This window comes from Homo sapiens, chromosome 9 (assembly GCF_000001405.40).
Source record: "Homo sapiens chromosome 9, GRCh38.p14 Primary Assembly".
In the NCBI taxonomy this organism is placed as follows: Eukaryota; Metazoa; Chordata; class Mammalia; order Primates; family Hominidae; genus Homo; species Homo sapiens.
Window position 1 is genome coordinate 136018367 of NC_000009.12, and position 22346 is coordinate 136040712.

The window sequence follows — 22346 nt, forward strand, 5'->3', positions numbered from 1 at the left end:
AGGCCACCCAGCCCTGGGGGGCTGAAACCTTGGTTTCTGAGGACCCCACATCCTGAATCCACAGCGGGCGCCCCACTGAAGGCAGCAGGTGTTCCACTCCTGAGAACCATGCGGGGTCTGAAACCACCCACCCTGGAGTCACCCTGACACTCCCTCCCCAGGGACCCACTGGCCCAGGATGAGCGTGGTACGCACTGCACCTGTCAGTCCCAGGAAGGGGAGCTTCCCAAGGCCCAGGGACACCCAAGCAGAGGCTGCAACAGAACAGAGGCCAGAAAGGGGGCCTCAAAGGTGGGTGCACAGCCCCTGCCCGGCCACTACAGGGGTCAGGCAGCATTTCCCGGTGGGGCAGAGCATCGCAGGATAAGCCCAGAATTACCCGAGTGCTCAGGGAACACAGCAAAACAACCCGGGTGGTATTTTAAAACATAATTACACACCCCCACCCCCGGTGCAGCCTGCTGTGATTACACACGCGGAGAAGCCGCACGGTGCGTGGCATTTACATAAAGAGTTCACCAACAGAAATAATTCCCCATCCACAACCACCTCGTCTCGAGATGTTTTTCTAAACAGCAGAAGTTGTTTGTGCTTGGAACACCCGCCCCTCCCCAGCCCCTGCCCAGCTCCCCAAGAGCCAGAGACTGTCAGCACCAGAGCGGCCAAAAAAGCCTCTTCTATTTCTGCCTTGCCGTGCACCGGGTGCTGCTGGCTAAAAACACCCCGCCCCGAGTGGAAGCTCGTCCGCAAAGGTGCCTCAATGTCTTCACGCAGCCTCCACCTCCCCGGCCCCCAGCTCACCCTCTGCAGGAGCTGAGCTTCAAGGTCCAGGCTACAACTGGGCTTTAACGGAGAACCCGCAGAGAGACTTGTTCATGGCAGAGACAGGACGGCTCATCCCTCGTGGCCCCCGGAAGGGCCATTCAGAGGCCCCGTGAGTCGGGGCCAGAGCTGGGTTCCAGGGTGGCAGGAGGCCCCTCGATGGGCTTGTGAGCAAGGAAGAGGCCCCTGCCGGTCACACTGAGGTCCCTCCTGAGCCTGGGTCTCGGGTACTGGGGGACCCGTGGCCTCCTGTCACCCCAGGACTGGCCGCTGTAGCAGAACTGCCACCTTCACCCTCGACAGCCCTGTGAAGAAACTCAGGTGCCAGGACGGTGCCCTCCAAACCTCTCAGCATGGTGACATCTGGGAACAGCTCATAAAGAGCAATGAGCTAACTGCATGGAGGTGAACAACCGCGCCCCCACACAGGGAAGGTGCACCAGGGTCACGACGAGAGGGCCCGGAGCAGCAGCCTCCCGGGCAGCAGGGCCCAGCTACTGAGGGTAGGCAGGTGGGCAGCCTCCCTGGACCACACGGGGCGAAGCAAACACAAGGACAAATGCTGCCCGGGGCGCGGGGTTGGGGCCTTCAGGGACCCAGAAGGAGCCCCCGCCGTACCTTCCAGGCCCTTCTGCTCCCAGCCGGGCGACACCAGGGGAGCTTGCGAGAGGGCGGCTGAGCCTGGAGGACACCACACTCAGGAAGCTGCCAGACACAGAAGGACACATCCCGGGGCTCCACTCGCAGGCGGCCCCCAGAGTCGTCAGGTCCACAGAGGCGGGAAACAGAGGGTGGGTGCCGGGGCTGGGTGGGGGAACGGGGAGGGACCGTTTCATGGGGATGAGAGGTTCATCTGGGGAAGATGGGAAGTTCTGGAGCCGATGGCAGTGATGCTCACAAAACAGTGGGAATGCGCTTAGCATCACCGAACCACGCACGTAAAAGTCACTGCAACGGCCCCTCTCACGTCCACTTTACCACAATAACAACGCTCAGAAAGAACAAATGAACGAACGTCAGAAGGAGGGGGCCATGCAGGTCTGGAGGGAAACCGGGTCTCATTGGCCTCACCCTGACTTTTCTCAACTCCCTGGGTTACTGATTGGGTTCTGAGGTGCTCCACGTCCTCACCAGGCAAAACACCCCGAGATCCCTGCCCACGGGCCAACACCACGGCAGGATGTCCCAGATGGCGAGCCCTGTTCCTGTCCCCAAGGCAGAGTGTGTCATCGGGGACTCGCCCAGGTGACACCATCAGAGACCACGCAGGCAGCCCCACCAGGGGAGTCTGTGCGGATGTGGGCGGCAGTGGCGAGTGGTAGGGCCGCCTGGTGGAGCCCAGCAGAGCCTCGGCGGGGGTAGGAGGGAGACGGGGAGGCCTACTCCCTAAAAGTGTATACCATTTGTTAAAATGCACCACAAGAAAATGAGCCCCTAGTCCTTGATGATACAGAAATATACAACTTAAATGCAAATGGACAGAACAGTGCTGAATCAACTGATTTTAAGACTTCCTGTACAGCTACAGTCATGAAGCCTGCATGGTTCAGGGAAGTGGACAGACAGGTCAATGGCACAGAATAGGAGACCCACAGACAGACCCACATGGCCATGCTCGATTGGCTTTTGACAAAGGTGCACCAGCCTTTGTCAACGGAGGAGGCAGCAGCCTTCACAAATGGGGCTTGAGCAACTGGCCATCCGCACCCACACGTGGCACCAAAACCACCCTCCGTCTCAGCCTCGCACCCTACACAAAAACTGCAGAAGGTCTTTATGAGCTTAGGTTAAGCTAAAGTCTTAGACAAGGCCCCCAAAGCACGATCCACAATGGAAATGATTGACGAGCTAGAATTCATCAGAATGAAAAACTTCCGATCTCTGAATGAAGATAAAAAAACAAGCTAGCCACAGACTGGAGGAAGATGCTTGCAAATCACATATCTGACAAAGGACTTGTATCTAAAAAATATAAAGAAATCTCGATACTCAACAGTTAAAAACCAACAATCCAGTTCCAAGAATGGGCAAAAGATTTGAAGACTCTTCCCCAGGGGACTTACAGATGGAAATTAGCACATGAAAAGACACTCAAGCATCCTTAGCCATGGGAGAAATGCAAATCAAGCCATGTTGCGGTCCCACCTCCCAGTGCGGGAAACGTAAAAACACCGACGCCAAGTGCCGGCGAGGATGCGGGGCAGCTGGGACGTCCTGACGACGTGGTCTCACCTCCCAGTGCGGCGAAACATAAAAACACTGACACCCCCAAGTGCTGGCGAGGACACGGGGCAGCTGGGACGTCCTGACCTCACTGGGGAGAGTGCAAAGTGGCATGGCCACTCTGGAAAACTGCTTGGTGGCTTCTTGTCAAGTTCAACATACACTTATGACCCAGCAATTATACTTCTAGGTATTTGCCCAAGAAAAATGGGAGTTTATCTCCAAAGACAGCCTGCACAGGAACGCTTATCCCGTCTCTACTCTTGAATGCCCCAGGCTAGACGCAGCCCGGATGTCCTGCAATGGGCATGCAGATAAAGACACTGTGAACCATCCACATGACGTGTTACCGCTTGGCTGTGAAAAGGAACAAATGATTGGCACACAACCTGGATGGATCTCAAATCGTGCTGTTACACAGAAGACGTAAAATGATTACATACTGGTGATCCCATTTGTATGACATTGTCCAGGAAACTAAACTTGGGGGACAGAGAATCATTTCCATTGTGGCCACCAGGGGCTGGGGTGCGGACAAGCCTCAAGGGCAGCATGGAGGGGTTTGGCGAGGGAGCCATTGTGAATGAGGAAAGGTCGGGCTACACACCTGTCCCCACGGGGGCAGCCTGCACGACTCTAGGTGGCCTCTGCTCATGGATCTGGAGGCTGACCTGGCACATGCCCTGCACTATCTCTGCAGCTGCCGGCTTGGCACAGACCAGCTCTGGCAACCTGTGAGGGACACTTGTGAACTTGGTGGCATCAGGCGCAGAGCAGGTGCACAGGGACCCAGGTGGAAATGGTGAGGGGCAATGTGGGGGCACCACAGACGGGTGACCAGGCCCGGGTGATGAGGTAACGGGTGCCCCACATGCAGTGGGCCTCGGGGAGATGACCACACTCTCCACATGGGGCTGTGTCCCACCCCCGAAAGCACACAGGTGTGGACTCAACACCCTCCTGCCCGATGCCCAGCAAGGCTGGGACCACAACTTGCTTCCCAGCTCCCCGCCCAGGTGCCTCCTGATGGCCAGAGCCCAGGGCCGGCTGTGGGGCCAACTGGTGCAGACGTGGCATTTAGTGTGGTCACTGCAGCTCGGGGAGACCTGCCTTCCCTGCTGTTGCCCCTTCCACCCAGCTTTGGGGGTGGGTCCATGGTCCCAGCTCGCTGCCTCCTGGCCAGTGAGCCTGTTCTGGGTCCAGTGCTTCTGGCAGTGAGGGGGGCTCACCCTGCTGGTCAGTGTCCCCAGGGCCTGGCACACAGCATGCGCCTAACACACAGGGCCCATCAACTACCAGTGCTGGCTGGGGCAGTGCCTCTGTCATCCTCCAGAAAGACCAGAAACGACTTCCACGCTGTACTTGGTGGGAGCACAGAGGCCACAATTATAAGGCATGCCATTCTCTCATGTGCCACAGGGCAAAGGTGCCACCAATTTAATCATGCCACGCCATAACTGGGAAGGCAAACCATCACCAATTACCACGCCATGCCACGCCACACCGTGCCTGTTAAGACACAGCCCGTTTCGTGGATGCTGACACATGGGGAAATGCAGAAAAGCCCAGCAGGGAAAGCCAGGAGGAAGAAAAATGAAGGCAGAGAGGGACATTCACATCAGGAAGGAGGGAGGGAAGGAGGGAGGAAGGAGGGAAGAGGGAGGGAGGAGGGAGGGAAGGAGGGAAGAGGGAGGGAGGAGGGAGGGGGAGGAGGGAGGGAGGAAGGACCTGTACGCATATCCTGGCCTCTCTGGGTCTCCTGGAAACCCGGATGGAAAGGGGCTCGCTGGTCTCTCGAGTCCCCATGCCCACACTCATGGGTGCAGCTGCGGGGGAAGATGTGGGGGCCACTAAGTAGAATCCTCACTGGCACCCCCAGGAGCTTGCTCCCGACGCGAGGGGCCGGCATGACCCTGCAGCCCGCCAGGGCACCTGGGCCTGCTCAGCTCTCGGAGAACGTGGGATCCCCGAGTGAGTGGGACCCTCTGGGCTTCTCGACCAGCTCAACAGTCCCATCAAACCTGGCCCCTGCCCTGCCCCACCCACACTCCTGGCCAGTGCCCTCCTTAGAGCTGAGGCTTCCTCCAGGCCTGGCAGGTGCTGTCATTTTATCTCCTGCAAATCCCAGCACCCACTCCTACCAGCACCAAGCCTGGTCCTGGAGACTCAAGAAGTCCCCAAGTGGTCCAGGCCTCCGACAGGGATCCCAGCGATGATTTTTATTGCTGATCTGATGGCATCCCTTTCCTGCTCTACATCCATCCACACGTTTCTCAGACTTGCCCAAGGACATCCTCGAGGCAGCAGGTGGCCCGCCCTGCCTTTGCAAGAGCTTGTCCAGCCATAGGCACAGGTTGAATCAATCCCACCTATCACAGCACATGGCACGGGTCACTGTGAAGACACTAGCAGGGTCTGTGTGTGCTGAGAAGGACGACCAGGACACTAAGGACAAATGAAGGGCAATGCACGGGATGCCACCCACACAAGTGTGTACCCACCGCCATACACACGTGCATGCCCCCAACCACACAAATGCACAACCCCCCCCACACACACGTGCACATGCGTCAGACATGGAGGAAGCTCCCGGGATGTGTGCCAGCTGTGAGTTCCTCTGGGAGACAGAGTGTGTGGGGACAGCGTGTGTGTGTGAGGCCAGAGTGTGAGTGAGGGCCAGAGTGTGTGTGTGTGTGGGTGAGGACAGAGGGTGCGTGTGAGGACAGTGTGTGTGTGGGGACAGAGTGTGTGTGTGTGTGTGTGTGTGAGGACGGAGTGTGTGTGTGTGAGGACAGAGTGTGTGTGTGTGAGGACAGAGGGTGTGTGTGAGGACAGAGGGTGTGTGTGAGGACAGAGGGTGTGTGTGAGGACAGAGGGTGCGTGTGTGTGAGGACAGAGGGTTTGTGTGAGGACAGAGTGTGTGTGTGTGAGGACAGAGTGTGTGTGTGTGAGGACAGAAGGTGTGTGTGTGAGGACAGAGGGTGTGTGAGGACAGAGTGTGTGTGTGTGAGGACAGAGTGTGTGTGTGTGAGGACAGAGGGTATGTGTGAGGACAGAGGGTGCGTGTGAGGACAGTGTGTGTGAGGACAGAATGTGTGTGTGTGTGTGTGTGTGTGTGTGTGGACAGTGTGTGTGAGGACAGTGTGTGTAAGGACAGAGTGTGTGTGTAAGGACAGAGTGTGCATGTGAGGACCAGCAGGGGAGAATGGCTTTCACTCTATGACCTTTTCCTAGTCTTTAAGACAGTGAACACACATTAGCTATGCAAAAATAAATATATTTAACTTTTAAAACGCCCCAGAGATTCCCACTGTGGATATGAGGGAGCAGCCAATATTAGACTAACTCCCTCATCAAAAACAACTACCAAAATTATCAAAAGACCAACTACAACCCTGAGGGGCTGCGATCCTGAGAACTGGGACCTGCCAGCCCTGGGGTGGAGCAGCTGAGGCGGCAGGGCCTAAAGGCGGCAGTGGCTGACAGAGCCGGGAGCCTCGGGGCCCAGGATCCTGAGAGCCGGCCTCAGGGTGCAATTTCGGAACTGTCCCTTGGATATCTGCTGACTACTAAGTAGCCATGCATGCAGGCAGAGATGGAGCAAAATCAACTGCCAAGAAACGAAAAAAACAAGGAAATCTAGAATTTGGCATCTCGTGTATTGGAGAGATGAAAATGGACTGATTTCAAGGCCAGCCAAGAGGAGGGGTTCTGGGGAACACCAGGCTTTCAGCTGAGGCCCTGGAAGGGCTACAGGCTACGGTGTGAGGCAAACCAGAAGCACACCGGCCTTGGAGAATGTGGGCACGGGCGCTGCTGGATGGCACAGATTTCCCCTCACTGCAGACCTTCACGCAACAGTCCCCAGACCCTTTGAGGAGTGCTGCTTACGACTCCTCACCTGTTTTCACACGATGTCCGGCCGTCCATAAGAAAGGGCCAGGAATCCCAGAAAACAGAACCAAATGATAGAAAACTATTTCACAAAGAGATGTTAGATGTGGACCCATAGACCAAATGATAAAAAACAAAACAAAACAAAACAACAAAACAAAACCAACAATTTACAGAAGGACATCAGATCAGACAACTAGCAGACACCGAATTTAAAATAACAATTTTTAATGTGTACAAGAAATACAGGCAACAAGATGGAAAATTTCACCAGAAAACTAGAATCAACAAAAGGGATTAAGTCCTATTAAAAAAAAAAAAAACGCAGCCGGGCGCAGTGGCTCATGCCTGTAATCCCGGCACTCTGGGAGGCTGAGGTGGGCCAGTCACTTGAGGTTAGGAGTTCGAGACAGCCTGGCCAAAACGGCAAGACCTCGCCTCTACTAAAAATACAAAAAAATTAGCCAGGTGTGGTGGTATGCACTTGTAGTCCCGGCTACTCAGGAAGTGGAGGCAGGAGAATCGCTTGAACCCAGGAGGCAGAGGTTGCAGTGAGCTGAGATTGTGCCACTGCACTCCAGCCTGGGTGACAGAGCAAGACCATCTCGAAAACAAACAAAAAAAATCCAACAACTAACAATATGAACTCAAAAGAATTATTTAGGGGAAAATTAAATAGTGCAGATGAGATTTGTGAACTGGAAAATAATTTAATACAAAATATCCAGATTGATGCAGAATAAGAAAGAATAGGCCAGGCGTGGTGGCTCACACCTGTAACCCCAGCACTTTGGGAGGACGAGGTGGGCAGATCACTTGAGGTTAGGAGTTCGAGACCAGCTTGGCTAACATGGCAAAACTCCGTCTCTACTAAAAATACAAAAAATTAGCCAGGTGTGGTGGTGCGCACCTGTAATCCCAGCTACTCTGGAGGCTGAGGCAGAAGAATTGCTTGAACCCAGCGGGGGTGGAGGTTGCAGTGAACCAAGATGGCACCACTGCACTCCAGCCTGGGCAACAAGAGCAAAACTCCATCTCAAAAAAAAAAAAAAAAAAAAAAAAGATAAAAGAATAGAAAATACAGAAAACAGAATAAAAGACACATGGAACACATAGGACTTGGGGAAAGCCTAACATACATGTAACTGGAGCCCCAGAAGGAGAGGAGGAGAGGAGGCTGAGGCTCTGAGGAGACAGACTGAGGGGTCCCCAGACCGACCAAGGACATGGAGCCGCATCAAAAGGAAAGTGATCTCAGATAGGAGGGAGTGAGGTAACGCAGGAGACAGTGAAAAGCATGGGGAAAAAATGTGCAGATAAATATAAACACAATGATGTAAAATGACAAAGGCACGTCTAGTGGTGCTTACAACATACACAGAATTAACACACAGAACATTCTAACTCAGGATGAATGCTGAAATCCCTAACCTACAAGAACAGTATACAAACTTTTAATAGGCATATACAGGGGAAAATGGAATACCTGATTAATCAGAAAGGAGGGACAAGAAAGGAGAAGCAACAGGAGGTCAGAGGGGAAGAGCAGAGACCAATGGACAAGACGGTAGATTAACCCAGCAAAGTCAGTAACCACGTGAAATGAAAGTCAAAACACTCCAGTAGAAAATAACGTTTGTTGGCCGGGTGCAGTAGCTCATGCCTGTAATCCCAGCACTCTGGGAGGCTGAAGCAGGGGGATCACCCAAGGTCAGGAGTTCAAGACCAGCCTGGCCAACATGGTGAAACCCAGTCTCTACTAAAAATAGAAACAGCCGGTGTGGTGGCACATGCCTGTAGTCCCAACTACTCGGGAGGCTGAGGCACAAGAATTGCTAGAACCCGGGAGGCGGAGGTTGCAGTGAGCCGAGATAGCGCCACTGCCCTCCAGCCTGGACGATGGAGCAAGACTCTGTCTCAAAACAAACAAAAAAAATTAATGTTTGTGAAGAATGAATAAAACAAAACCCAAGAGAAAACCTCAAACAAGAGGACAAATGATAGAAAGAGATGTACCAGGTAAATATTAAACAAAAGGGAGCTGAGGTGGCTCTGCTGTGGCCAACACAAGATAAAAACACACCTGAAAGAATATACATTTGCCTTCCTTATCAGCACCGTTTATGCTATTTCTTTTCAATGTATATGGAACATATACAGGGGCTCAGGGAAAGTCTCAACAAACTCCAGAGTAACAAACTAGGCTGAGTGCATTCTATGTCCACTGGAAATTTAATTCAGAATTCATAACAAAAAAGATGACCAGAAAATCCAAAAAGGTTTGTAAATTAAGCAGTACATTGCTACATAACACAAGGGCAAAAGGGAAAAAAAAATCACAAATGACTAGAAAATACCTTTATCTGAATGATAATGAAAATCTGACATGAAAATGTGTTAGAATTAGGCAGTGCTGATCAGGAAATATAGAGCCCTAAGTGCTTTACTTTAAAAGGCTGAGGTATCAATGATCTACAGATCTCTCTCAAAAACTAGGAATATAATAGCAAAGTAAACACAAAGAAAGTAGAGATAAACTGAAATAAAAAAATATATAAATACATACATAAGAGAAAAAATCCAGAAGTTGGTTCTTTGAAAAGACAAATATAATGGAAACTCTCTAGCAAGTCTGAACAAAGAGAAAAAGAGAAAAGACAAAAATTAACATCGGCCTGGCACAGTGGCTCACACCTGTAATCCCAGCACTTTGGGAGGCCAAGGTGGGTGGATCACTTGAGGTCAGAAGTTCGAGACCAGCCTGGCCAACATGGTGAAACCCCCATCTCTACTAAAAATACAAAAATTAACTGGGCATAATGGCAGGTGCCTGTAATCCCAGCTACTTGAGAGGCTGAGTGGCAGGAGCCACTCCAGCCTGAGTGACAGAGAGAAACTCCATCTCCAAAAAAAAAAAAAAAAAATTGACACCATTAAGGAACACTCCATTACACAACAGGTTCTACAGAACAGGGCTGGCAAACTTCTGCTGGGAGGGCCAGAGAGTAAATACTTTAGGTAGGCTGACCACATGTACTTTCTGCCACTTGTCCTTCTTTGCCTTTGCTTCCTTTTTTTTTTTTTTTTTTGAGACAGGGTCTCTTTCTGTCACCCATGCTGGAGTGCAGTGGTGCGATCTCAGCTCACTGCAACTCTGCCTACTGGGTTCAAGCAATTTTTCTGCCTCAGCCTCCTGCGTAACTGTGACTACAGGTGATGGCAGCGGTGGCCCGTCTGGACCAGCCACTGCCATGATGCCAGCTGTAGTGGGTGAGGCGTGGCCAGGGCTGCACGCTCCATGGAGCTGGCAGGAGCCGGGAACAGGTAGAAATCTTGCCCGCTTCCAAGTTGGAGGGGTGGGAGTTCCACCCTCCCAGGCGCAGCTGCAGTTGCCCAGCTGTGGCTGCAGACCTGAGCATCTCTGCACTCTTGGGGGCCTGGGAAGCCCCCCTGCCTGCACAGGCTCAGAAGTGCCTGCTCCTGCTGCCTGGCCCTCTCCTCACTTCCAGGACCTGCTCCGATTTTGGAGCAAAGTTGTAGCTGAACCTGGGCACTGTCATGACCTGGCCAGGTGTATGTGCGCTCAGGGCAGTGCTGACATGCCAGGCCCCTGCCGCCTTGGCCCCCTCTGGATGTTGGGCACCGTCGAGCACAAGAGGGAGGCCGAGGTGGGGCTAACAGCCTGGGTGTGTGTGGCCACCATAAGCAGGTTAATGGTGGCAGGAGGCAGACAGGCTCCTGGATGGAAAGGGGTGGGTCCTGGTAAGCCCTACCTTCAAGCCAGGAATGGCCTGAAGCCCAGGGCCCAGGCTGTCAGTTCCGCAGACTGGAGTGAGAACTTATGTTGCCTTTTCCGGGCCCACTCATGGCTGCCCATGGACAAATCAGCATGCACATCCTGCCCTCTGAAGGCCATAAAAACCCCAGACTCAGCCAGACAACAGGATGGCCTACCTGAGGAGGGGAGCTACCCACTGTGGGTCTCCTCTCAGCTGAGAGCTGAGCAGATGTTGAGGAGACCTGCCTGCAGAGAGGAGCTACCCACTCCAGGGTCTCCTTGAGAGCTGTACTGTCCCTCAATAAAGCATTTCTTCACTTTACTTGCCCTCCAGTTGTCTGCATACCTCATTTTCCTGGATGCGGAACAAGAACTCGGGACCTGCCAAATGGCAGGATTAAAAGAGATGAAAGAGCTGTAACACAAACAGGGCTGAAACATGCCCCTTGCCCACCACGTTGTGGGCAATGAGGAGAGAAGAGCTGCAGCCCTTCGGGGATCCCAGACCCAGGAGGTCCGTGAGCCGGGGCTGTGACACCTTCTTTGGGGCTCTGCAGTTCCTGGCATCTCCAAGCTTCCAGGTGCCACCGTGTTTCCCAGTGTCAGCAGAAGCTGCTTGAGGTATGCCTGGTACAGCTGCAGCCCTGCAGGGAGCCGGCGCCTGTGCCAGTGCCTGGAGCTGCCCACCCCACTGCAGCCAGTGTGCCTGGCTGTGCACAGTGGCTGGGCCTGGAGCTTGCTCGCTCACACACCCCTTGCTGCTCTGTGCCTGGCTCACCCTCAGAGGTGTGGGATCCGGGCCGGTAGTGCAAACCTGGCACAGCCTGCTGGGCCGAACGGGTGGAATGAGCCCAGCAGGCACGAGCAAAACTTGGGTAAAGGCACCACCGGCCACAGAGGTTTCTGGCGGGTGAAGCGACACCCCAAGGATCCTGTGACACACACTGCACCTGCTTAATTTTCGTAATTTTAGTAGACATGGAGTTTCACCATGATAGCCAGGCTGGTCTTGAACTCCTGACCTCAAGTGAGCCACCCGCCTCAGCTTCCCAAAGTGCTGGGATTACAGGCATGAGACACCACACCCAGCCCTTCCTTGCTTTTTCAAAGGAATCCTTTAGAAATATACACCCCATCCTTAGTTTGCAGGCTGTACAAAAACAGGACACGGGACAGATCTGCCATAGTCAGAGGAGGCTCATCCCTGTTGTAGACATTCAGAAGATCTTAAAGAGGGTACTGGAGGCCGGGCGCGGTGGCTCACGCCTGTAATCCCAGCACTTTGCGAGGCCAAGGCAGGCAGATCACGAGGTCAGGAGATCGAGACCATCCCGGTGAACACAGTGAAACCCCATCTCTACTAAAAATACAAAAAAATTAGCCAGGCATGGTGGCAGGCGCCTGTAGTCCCAGCTACTTGGGAGGCTGAGGCAGGAGAATGGCGTGAACCCAGGAGGTGGAGCTTGCAGTGAGCCGAGACTGCGCCACTGCACTCCAGCCTGGGCGACAGAGCAAGACTCCGTCTCAAAAAAAAAATAAAAAGAGGGTACTGGAACAATTTCATGTCAATACATCTGAACTTTAACACTTATTTTGAGATGGCAGTCTCGCTCTGTCACCCAGGTTGGAGTGCAGTGGTGTCATCTCAGCTCACTACAACCTGCGCCTCCCAGGTTCAAGCGATCCTCCCATCTCAGCCTCCCGAGTAGCTGGGACCTCAGGCACACACCTCCATGCCTGGCTAACTTTTTGTATTTTTGGTAGAGATGGGGTTTTGCCATGTTGCCCAGGCTGGTCTTAAACTCCCAAGTTCAAGTGATCTGCCCACCTCAGCCTCGCAGTGCTGGGATTACAGGAGTGAACCACCGTGCCCGGCCAATACATCTCAACTTTAGACGGAGCCGATGAACTTCCAGATATACACAACTTACCAAACCTGACACAAGAGGAAATAGATTATGTGAACTATTCCTGCAGCTACTCAAGAAAATGAAGCTAAATAAATATCTCCCTACAAAGAACTCCAGACCAAAATGACTTTGCCTATGACATTTTTTCAAAGGTTTAAGAATGAAATAGCACAGCATTATACAAACTGTTCCAGGTCATTAAAGACAAGGAAATAATTCTCAATTCATTTAATGAGGCCAGATAATCTTGATATCAAAACATTGGGAAGGTAAAGAGATGAGAACGTCGGTATCAATGTTAGTGCCCTTCCCTCTCCTTTACTCCACAGCCTCATTCATTCATTCATTCATTCATTCATTCTGAGATAGAGTCTTGCTCCATCACCCAGGCTGGGGTGCAGTGGCACAATCTCGGCTCACTGCAAACTCTGCCTCCCGGGTTCGAGCAATTCTCGTGCTTCAGCCTCCCGAGCAGCTGGGATTACAGGTGTGCGCCACCACACCAGGTTAATTTTTGTATTTTTAGTAGAGATGGGGTTTCACTGTGTCGGCCAGGCTGGTCTCGAACTCCTGAGCTCAAGTGATCCACCCGCCTCGGCCTCCCAAAGTGCTAGGATTACAGGTGTGAGCCACTGTGCCCGGCCCACGGCCCCATTTTAAGACAAAGAAAAAAGAACAAGAAAACACAGAACTTTTCCTTAAAGCAAAATTAGAGGGCAATCTCTCTTGTGAACATGGTGACACAAATCCTAAAGAAGTTCTAAAGAAAATATTAGCAAATAAGAAATGTATGATCTCATCCCATACAGCTAGTGGCCACTCATGGAACCGATTTAACCCACATGGCTTTTACTGCTGCCTCCAGGCCCTGGCTCTGCATTCCCACCTCCTCTAACTGTGAGGTTTTGGCATCTGCACCAACACCCACAGCTGATGTGTATGGGCAGCTGTTAACAGCTTTCCCGATGCTAGGGCCTGGTGCTCTGCATAAATGAATGGGGGGCAAGGGTCGTCCTCGGCAGCACCCCTGGTGATCACTGCCCAGGTTTGACCACAGAAGGGATGATTTCCCTCCCGCCAGACTCCTGGGATCCCACCGGCCTTTTCTGTCTCAGGCTCTGTCCAGGACTTTAACAGAGAAGGATCCATGGCTCTGGAGAGCCGTCCAAAAGGAGGGGAAGGAATATCAGCGAGCTGCATCCAGAGGCATGTATAACAGAAGGCTGCCACAGCACAACTCAGTTGAATTTATTCCAGGAATACGAAGTTATTTCAATATTTGGAAAAGCAGTCAATGCAACTAAGCACATTAGCAGGGCAGCAGAGGAAAACCACAGGACTGTTACAATGCTTAGAGAAAGCTTTTGTTACAATGCAACACTTACGAGGAAAAAAAAAACCCTCTTAACCTAGGAAATGAAATAAATTTCCTTAATCTGATAAAATGTATCACAGTAAGGCCTAGAGCAAACATCCTACTTAAAGAGGAACAGTGGAAGCTTTTCCTGAGTTTAGAAATGAGACAGGGATATGTAAGAAGTTCTGGCCAGTTCAATGAGGCAAGAAAGAAGAAATAAAGAAATTGTGGTTATGAGCAGATGACATGTCTGTATCCAGAACAGGCCAGGCCTGGTGGCTCACGTAGGTAATCCCAGCAGTTTGGGAGGCCAAGGCAGGCGGATCACTTGAGATCAGGAGTTCGAGACCAGCCCATCCAACATGGTGAAACCCCATCTCTACTAAAAATACAAAAATTAGTCTGGGCATGGTGGCTCATGCCTGTAATCCGCCACTTTGGGAGGCTGAGGTGGGTGGATCACGAGACTAGCCTGGCCAACATGGTGAAACCCCGTCTCTATTAAAAATACAAAAAAATTACCCAGACATGGTGGCAGGCGCCTGTAATCCCAGCTACTCGGGAGGCTGAGGCAGGAGAATCACTAGAACTCTGGAGGCAGAGGTTGCAGTGAGCCGAGATCACACCACTGAACTCCAGCCTGGGCAACAGAGCAAGATTCCATCTCAAAAAAAAATAAGTTGGGCATGGTGGCACACACCTGTAATTCCAGCTACTTGGGAGGCTGAGGTAGGAGAATCACTTGAGCCCAGGAGGTGGAGACTGCAGTGAGCCAAGATCATGCCATTGCACTCCAGCCGGGGCAACAGAGTGAGACCCTGTCTCAAAAATAAAATAAAATAAAATAAAATAAAATTCAAGATAATCTGCAGGTAGACTCTCAGAGTAAATCAGTGAGTTAGCAAGGTAAGCAGACTTCAAAGATAATCCAATTTGTTTCTATATATTAGTAACAGACATGAAAAAAACAAAGTTAAGTACTATGTAATTCAAATTAAAAAATGAACTTCTGGCCGGGCACGGTGGCTCACGCCTGTAATCCCAGCACTTTGGGAGGCTGATGTGGGCGGATCATCTGAGGTCAGGAGTTCAAGACCAGCCCAGCGAACATGGTGAAACCCCTACTAAACCTCTACTAAAAATACAAAAATTAGCCAGGCGTGGTGGCGGGTGCCTGTAATCCCAGCTACTCGGGAGGCTGAGGCAGGAGAATCGCTTGAATTCGGGAGTTGGAGGTTGGAGTGAGCTGAGATCTGCCACTGCACTCCAGCCCGGGGGACAGAGCAAGACTCTGTCTCAAAAAAAAAAAAAAAAAAAAGAACTTCTAGGAATAAATCTTTTTAAAAAAAGATGTGCAGAGAACTACAAAATATTCCTAAGAAAAAATTATTGCTTTGGAGAGTATCAGTATGAACCCACAATTCTTAATATATAAACAGAAGGATGTACCACGCCCATGGATTGGAAGACCCAATACGGTAAAAATGTCAGGTCACCCCGCATCAGTCAAAAGAATCAATGCAATCCCAATCAAATTCCAGCAGGTGTGTGTGTGTGTGTGTGTGTGTGTGTGTGTGTGTGTGTGTGTGTGAGATATTTGGCAATCTACTTCTGAAAAGCATATGAAAATGCAAAAAATAGCCAACGCAAGGCAAATCATAAGGAACTCAAACCTGAAAGAGTTAGAGAAAATATTTAGAAAGATTCAGAAAAAATTTTTAAAAACATGTACTGCCATAGGGAAAAACAGAGAGATCAAGGGTATAGAACAGAGTTCAATTACAAACACATATAATTTACAGACTCCTGATACACAGCAAAGGGCCCCGCAGGCCAGCGGCGGAAAAGACCTTCTCAGGGAGAACGTAGGTCCACTGGAAAGTAAAACGGGAACAAGTGAATTTTGAGCCCTGGATCACAGCACACACAAAAATCCATGCCAGACGTACTACAGATCTGAAAGTCTTTAATAACAAATCGTAAGAGAGTCCGAATCTTGACTATTAGGAAAGAAAAATAGGAAGAGAAAAAGAAAAAAGGAAGGGAGGAAGGTCAGGAAGAACCCCAGAGTGTTGATTGCTTTGGAGAGTATCAGTATGAACCCACAATTCTTAAATATGTAAATTCCTAGCTCTGACTGCTAAAAGGCTATAAAAACAAAAATACTTAGTGGCAATGAACAAATCTAGCACCAAGATCCTGGTTTCTAAATTCCCCACTACAGGAGAAATAACTGATTCTAGGGCTAGGAACCAGAAAGTCTAGGATGCGCCTGGAATGTTTTGCTGAAAGCAAGAAAATGCTTTAAAAAAAAAAAAAAGTCTACACTGATAGTAAATAAATAGTAACAATAAATGAAGGAATAAAACCAGTGAGTGGGGGATATAGGGGAAGCTCTTTCCTGTAAGACTGCTAACTAGTAAATATGGGAGTTGTGGAGTTAGAAATAATCATAATTGGGGGCCAGGCACAGTGGCTCATGCCTGTAACCCCAGCATTTTGGAAGGCACTGGCGGGCCGATCACCTGAGGTCAGGAGTTTAGGATCAGCCTGGCCAACATGCTGAAACCCCATCTCTACAAAAAATACAAAAATTAGCCGGGCATGGTGGTGGGTGCCTGTAATCCCAGGTACTTGGGAGGCTGAGGCAGGAGAATCACCTGAACCCAGGAGGCAGAGGTTGCAGTGAGCTGATATCACGCCACTGCACTCCAGCCTGGGTGACAGAGCGAGACTCCATCTCAAAAACAAAACAAAAACCAATCCTATTTGCACCCATCAGAGAGCAGTACCTGATTCAGGCAGGAATCATCAATAAATACTAGAATTAATGGATGGAAGGCTGAGGACAGGCAGGATATTTACACAGCCTCTTCTCACAAAGGGGAGAACAGTGACCACCTGGCAGAGACCACCTGCACCAAACCATCAAAGGAACATCACCAATATTGAGCCAAAGTGGTGTCACGTGACTCCTGTGACGCACTGAGAAGGTTCCGCTGCTGTGAATTGCAGCTGAAATGCACAACCTGACCCCAGTCCTGAGGAGAAACCTGACAAACCTAAAGAGAGGGACATTCTACAAAATAATGAACTGCGCTTTTCAAAGGATCAGTGTCAAAAAAGATAGAGGCTGAGACACTATTCTAGAATAAAGAGATGAAAGAGAAGAACCACAAAATGCAATGTGTGATTCTGGATTAAATACCACATCAGGGAAAAAACCACTGCTCTAAAGAACAATATTGAGACAACTGGAAAAAGGTACAGTCTGTAGTTACATGAGGATGATGGATTGAGATAACACTTCTTGAATTTTGCACAGCGTACTGTGATTATATAAGAGAATGTCCTTGTTTGTTAAAAAAAAAAAAAAGTTCAGCCTTTTGATGTAAAGGGCATAATATCTGCAACTTACTTTCAAATGGTTTAGTGAAAAACCTCTACATGTAAAAAGAATGACAGAGCAGATGTGGTAAATTCCTACCAATTGTGAAGGGGATACAGAAGTTCTCCGTACTTATCTTACAACTTTTCTGCAAGTTGAAAATGATTTCAAAACAATGTGTGTTTTTTGTTTTTTTACAAACATAGAACATCATCATGATCCTGAGGGAGGAAGAAATTTCTTTAAATAGGATATAAAAACTGCTATTGTACAAAAAGTTTGATAAACTTCACTATAAAAAATTATATTAACAAAACGGAAAGTTGCACAGTGGGAGAAGCTACTTACGTGTCTGACAAAGGATGCCAATTCACAGTGTAGAACGTGCAAAGTGGCAAGAAAAGGACAGATAACTCACTCTGCGAAGAAGTGGGGCAAAATATTTAAATAGGCACTTCACAAAGGAGGATGTCCAAGTGGCTGATAAGCCTATGAGAATGTGCCCAACGTCATGACTCATTATTGAAATTCTACCTAATACCACTGTGAGAGAATCAAGGACGGCAACTTGGAGATGCTCAACAATGTAACAATTACAATGTCCAGCATCTATTAAAAAAAACAAACAAGTGAAAAACCACAGAAAGGTCACCTTAAGGAGAAGAAAAATCAGTAAACAGAAACAGACCAAGAAATGACAAAATGCTAGCATTAGCTGATACAGGTTATTTTATATATACATACACACACACATAAATACATATATATACACACATACACATACATCTATATAAATACACACATATACATATACATATATATACACACGTATATTAGCTGACAACTGGCTATTATAAACATGATCAGAGCATTATAAAACAAAACAGGAATGAGGGGAGAAATGGAAAGTATAAAAAAGAACAAAACAGAACTTTAGAAAAGAAAGCCCTTGAGCATGAAGAAACCACAGCAGAGATTACTCGGCTGAAAGCCTATAGAAGAAAAAGTCTAAATAATAATCAGAACCTCAGTGACAAAAACATACATTTAGTTTAACTTCTAGAGGGTAAGGGGCAGAAGAATATTTGAAGAAACAATAATTTTTAAAATCCCAAATTTGATTTTTTAAAAAAGTAAAAATGCACGTGTTCAGAAAGCTCAACAAATCCTAAGCAGAATAAATACAAAGCAACACAAAGGCATCTAATAGTCAAATTACTGCAAACATGAGATAAAAGCAGCCTAAGAAGAAGACACAATAAACACAGAAGAACATAGATAAGGATGACTGTGATTTCCTGGGCAATCCAGAAGACAAAGAATATGACACCCTTAAAGTACTGAAAGCAAAAAAGAACCGTCAACCTAGAATTCTATATGCAGCAAAAGCTTCCTTGAAAGATGAAGGTGACAATAAATTACACAAGGAAAGCTGATGCCTTTTATTTTATGCAAGGTTTACCTCACTTAGGCAGATATTTTTATATAAAGTTTTTTCTTTTTTTGAGATGGAATCTCACTCTTGCCCAGGCTGGAATGCAGTGGTGTGATCTCGGCTCATTGCAACCTCTGCCTCCCGGGTTCAAGCGATTCTCCTGCCTCAGCCTCCCGAGTAGCTGGAACTACAGGCACACACCACACCTGGTTAATTTTTGTATTCCATTGTATGGCCATACCACAGTTTGCATATTCATTACTAATTACTCATTAGTAATTATGAACTAAGCTGCCATGAACATGTGCATATGTGATTTTGTATGCACTTAAATTTTCATTTTTTTTTTTTTGAGACAGAGTCTAGCTCTGTCACTCAGGCTGGAGTACAGTGGTGCAATCTCAGCTCATTGCAACCTCTGCCTCCTAGGTTCAAGCGATTCTCCTGTCTCAGCCTCCCAAGTAGCTGGGATTACAGGCACCCGCCACCACATCTGGCTAATTTTTTGTATTTTTAGTAGAGATGGGGTTTCACCATGTTGGCCAGGCTGGTCTCGATCTCCTGACCTCAGGTGATCCTCCCACCTCGGCTTCCCAAAGTGCTAGGATTACAGGCATGAACTACTGTGCTTGGCCAAGTTTTCATTTCTATTGGGTCAATTAACCTAAGAGTAGGTTATATGGTTAAAAAAAAAATGAAAACTTAAGTGCATACAAAATCCAGTACACACATGTTTATGGCAGCTTAGTTCATAATTATTAAAAACCTAATGTCCTTTAACCAGTGAATGCGTACACAAATTGTGGTGTGGCCATACAATGGAATACTACTTACTCAGCAACAAAAAAGAATCAATGCTAATACAACATGAATGAATCTCAAAATGTATTCAGATCCAAGAGGCCACATACTGTATACAACACCATCTATAAGCCAGGAAACAGATTAGCGGTGGCCGGGAGTCAGGGGAAGCGGGGGGAAATGACCACAAAGGGGCAGGATGAGTTTAGAGTGATGAAATTGTTCTATATCTTGACTGGGGAGGTGACTACATGACTATACGTATTTTTTTAAACACCAGGCTGGGCGTGGTGGCTCATGCCTATAATCCCAGCACCTTGGGAGGCCAAGGCCGGTGGATTGCTTGAGCCCAGGCGTTCCAGACCAGCCTGGGCAACGTGCTGAAATCCTGTCTCTACAAAAAAAATCCACAAAAATTAGCTGGGTGTGGTGGCATGTGCTTGTAGTCTCAGCTACTCAAGAGGCTGAGATGGGAAGATGGCTTGAGCCCGGGAGGCAGAGGGTATAGTGAGTTGAGATCGTGCCACTGCATTCCAGCCTGGGTGACAGAGTGAGATTATGTCTCAAAAAGTAATAATAATATAAATTTTTTTAAACTTCCAAATTGTACATCAAAGAGGAAATGTTATAATATGTAAAATTTAAAAGTTATTAAAAATGGAAAAAGATTACTTTATGGTAAAAATTACTTCTTCATATGCTATAAGCCTGATGTTAAGTGCAGGACAACATTAGCACAAAGGACTGGAGGAGGAACATGAGAATATACCATTTTAAGGGTCTTAAGTTATGCACGAGGGGCATCGCACAATTGAGGAGGTGGGCTGAGGGAAGTGAGAGATGCTACCGTGCGGTCTAGAGCAATTGCTAAACAACTGAGGCAGAAGCAGGAATAGCTAGTAAGCAATCGTGGAGCTAAAAACGATCATATTCAACAGAGAAACATGCAGGGAAGGAGAAAAGGTAAATGAACAAATAGCAAGATGGTAGACGTACACCTAAAGCCACTGAAAGTAACAGCAAATGTAAATGGTCTAAAGATTCCAAATAAAAGGCAGACTGTTAGACTGCATAAAAATGCAAATCCCAACCATATGCCGTCTCTAAAAAATACACTTTAAGACACAGGTAAGTTAAAAGCAATAGGACAAAAAGAGCCAAAACCACACAAATACTAAATATAAGAAAGCTGAAGTGCTATGGTGATATCAAAGTGACTTCAGAGATGGATAAATGACATGAAAGACCATTACCATGACTAGAACAAGATGAAAGAGAAAATCCTAATAGTTCTATGTCTAAAGTAATATTGGTAATTAAAGTCAATTGTAATTGGTAAGAATGCTGCTAATTACAGTAAATTGGTAATTAAAAGCCTTCCCACAATTAACAACAGCAACAAACCCCAGGCCCAAGTGGCTTCGCTGGTAAGACAAGTTTATCAAACACTTCAACAACATCAAGCTTATATCAACTCTTCGAAAAAACAAAGGAGAAGGGAACATAAAGCCAGCATAATGTGGATACCAAAACCAGACAAAGACATTAGAGGAAAATTACAGATCAATAACCTTCATGAACATAAATGCAAAATTCCTTGAGAAAATATCAGCAAGTTGAATCTAGCAATATATGTAAACACTGTAATACAAAATGACCAAGTGAGGTTTCTCCCAGGAATGCAAGGGTGGTTCAATACTGGAACACTAACTGATGCAATACACCATATGAACAAAACTAAGAACACCCACAAAATCACTTGCATAGATAGAAACTTCTACAAACTGGTCAAATGCAGCCATGCAAAAACTACAAGTGACATCACACGTAACAAAGAAAGGCTGATATGTTCCCCCCGAGAGAGAGCATGGCAAAGAGATGTTTGCTTTCACCACTTCCACTCAATCTGGAGTGGAGATCCAGAAATACAAGGTGTGCAAACTGCAGTAAAACTGTCTTTATTCACAAACAGGATGATGGCCTATGTAGGAAATGCCAAGGAATTTACGGAAAGCTATTAGAACTAATCACTAAAGGTAGCAAGGTTGTAGAATACAAGGTCAACATACAAAGAAACCAACTTTATTCCAGCTGGGCACAGGGGCTCACTCCTGTAATCCCAGCACTTTGGGAGGCTGAGGCGGGTGGATTACAAGGTCAGGGGATTGAGACCATCCTGGCTAACATGGTGAAATCCTGTCTCTACTAAAAATACAAAAAATTAGCCGGGCGTGGTGGCGGGCACCTGTATTCCCAGCTACTCGGGAGGCTGAGGCAGGAGAATGGCGTGAACCCAGGAGGCAGAGGTTGCAGTGAGCCAAGATCACACCACTGCACTCCAGCCTGGGCGACAGAGCAAGACTCCGTCTCAAAAAAAAAAAATCAACTTTATTCCTATGTACTGAAAATAAACAATTGGAAAATGAAATTATAAACAATATAATTCACAAACACATCAAATTAAAATAAAATAGGAGAACGGAGAAATACATGCAAAAAATATGTAACATCAGCAATTCTACTCCTAGGTATGTAGGCAAACATGCAAAACACATGTCTGTAAAGACTTGTACCTAAATGCTCACAGCCGCATTATTCAAAATAGCCAACAAGCGGAAACATTCCAAAAGTCCATCCACTACTGAACTGATAAATAAAATGTGGCATTATCCACACAATGGAATTTGACTTCACAAGAAAAATGGCCAGGCGCAGTGGCTCACACCTATAATCCCAAC

At 48.1% G+C, this 22346-nt stretch overlaps 1 protein-coding gene across 1 annotated transcript in view, besides 5 other annotated features; it reads right to left on the reverse strand.

The window, feature by feature from the left end:
- The window catches only part of NACC2 (NACC family member 2), an 88753-nt gene that overhangs the window by 11830 nt on the left and 54577 nt on the right, over positions 1-22346 (reverse strand). The gene's annotated exons all lie outside the window — the stretch shown is intronic.
- Positions 2698-3620: an enhancer, noted in NCBI's record as "NANOG-H3K4me1 hESC enhancer chr9:138912910-138913832 (GRCh37/hg19 assembly coordinates)". NCBI's record gives its function as "activates a minimal SCP1, AML or CMV promoter by ChIP-STARR-seq in primed H9 embryonic stem cells {active_cell/tissue: H9 hESC(primed)}" and the evidence as "EXISTENCE:reporter gene assay evidence [ECO:0000049][PMID:30033119]".
- Positions 3621-4541: an enhancer, noted in NCBI's record as "H3K4me1 hESC enhancer chr9:138913833-138914753 (GRCh37/hg19 assembly coordinates)". NCBI's record gives its function as "activates a minimal SCP1, AML or CMV promoter by ChIP-STARR-seq in primed H9 embryonic stem cells {active_cell/tissue: H9 hESC(primed)}" and the evidence as "EXISTENCE:reporter gene assay evidence [ECO:0000049][PMID:30033119]".
- Positions 5618-6156: an enhancer, noted in NCBI's record as "H3K4me1 hESC enhancer chr9:138915830-138916368 (GRCh37/hg19 assembly coordinates)". NCBI's record gives its function as "activates a minimal SCP1, AML or CMV promoter by ChIP-STARR-seq in primed H9 embryonic stem cells {active_cell/tissue: H9 hESC(primed)}" and the evidence as "EXISTENCE:reporter gene assay evidence [ECO:0000049][PMID:30033119]".
- Positions 6194-6784: an enhancer, noted in NCBI's record as "H3K4me1 hESC enhancer chr9:138916406-138916996 (GRCh37/hg19 assembly coordinates)". NCBI's record gives its function as "activates a minimal SCP1, AML or CMV promoter by ChIP-STARR-seq in primed H9 embryonic stem cells {active_cell/tissue: H9 hESC(primed)}" and the evidence as "EXISTENCE:reporter gene assay evidence [ECO:0000049][PMID:30033119]".
- Positions 11589-11801: a silencer, noted in NCBI's record as "fragment chr9:138921801-138922013 (GRCh37/hg19 assembly coordinates)". NCBI's record gives its function as "represses an EF-1alpha promoter that drives an FKBP-Casp9 reporter gene in an ReSE screen in HepG2 liver carcinoma cells {active_cell/tissue: HepG2}" and the evidence as "EXISTENCE:reporter gene assay evidence [ECO:0000049][PMID:32094911]".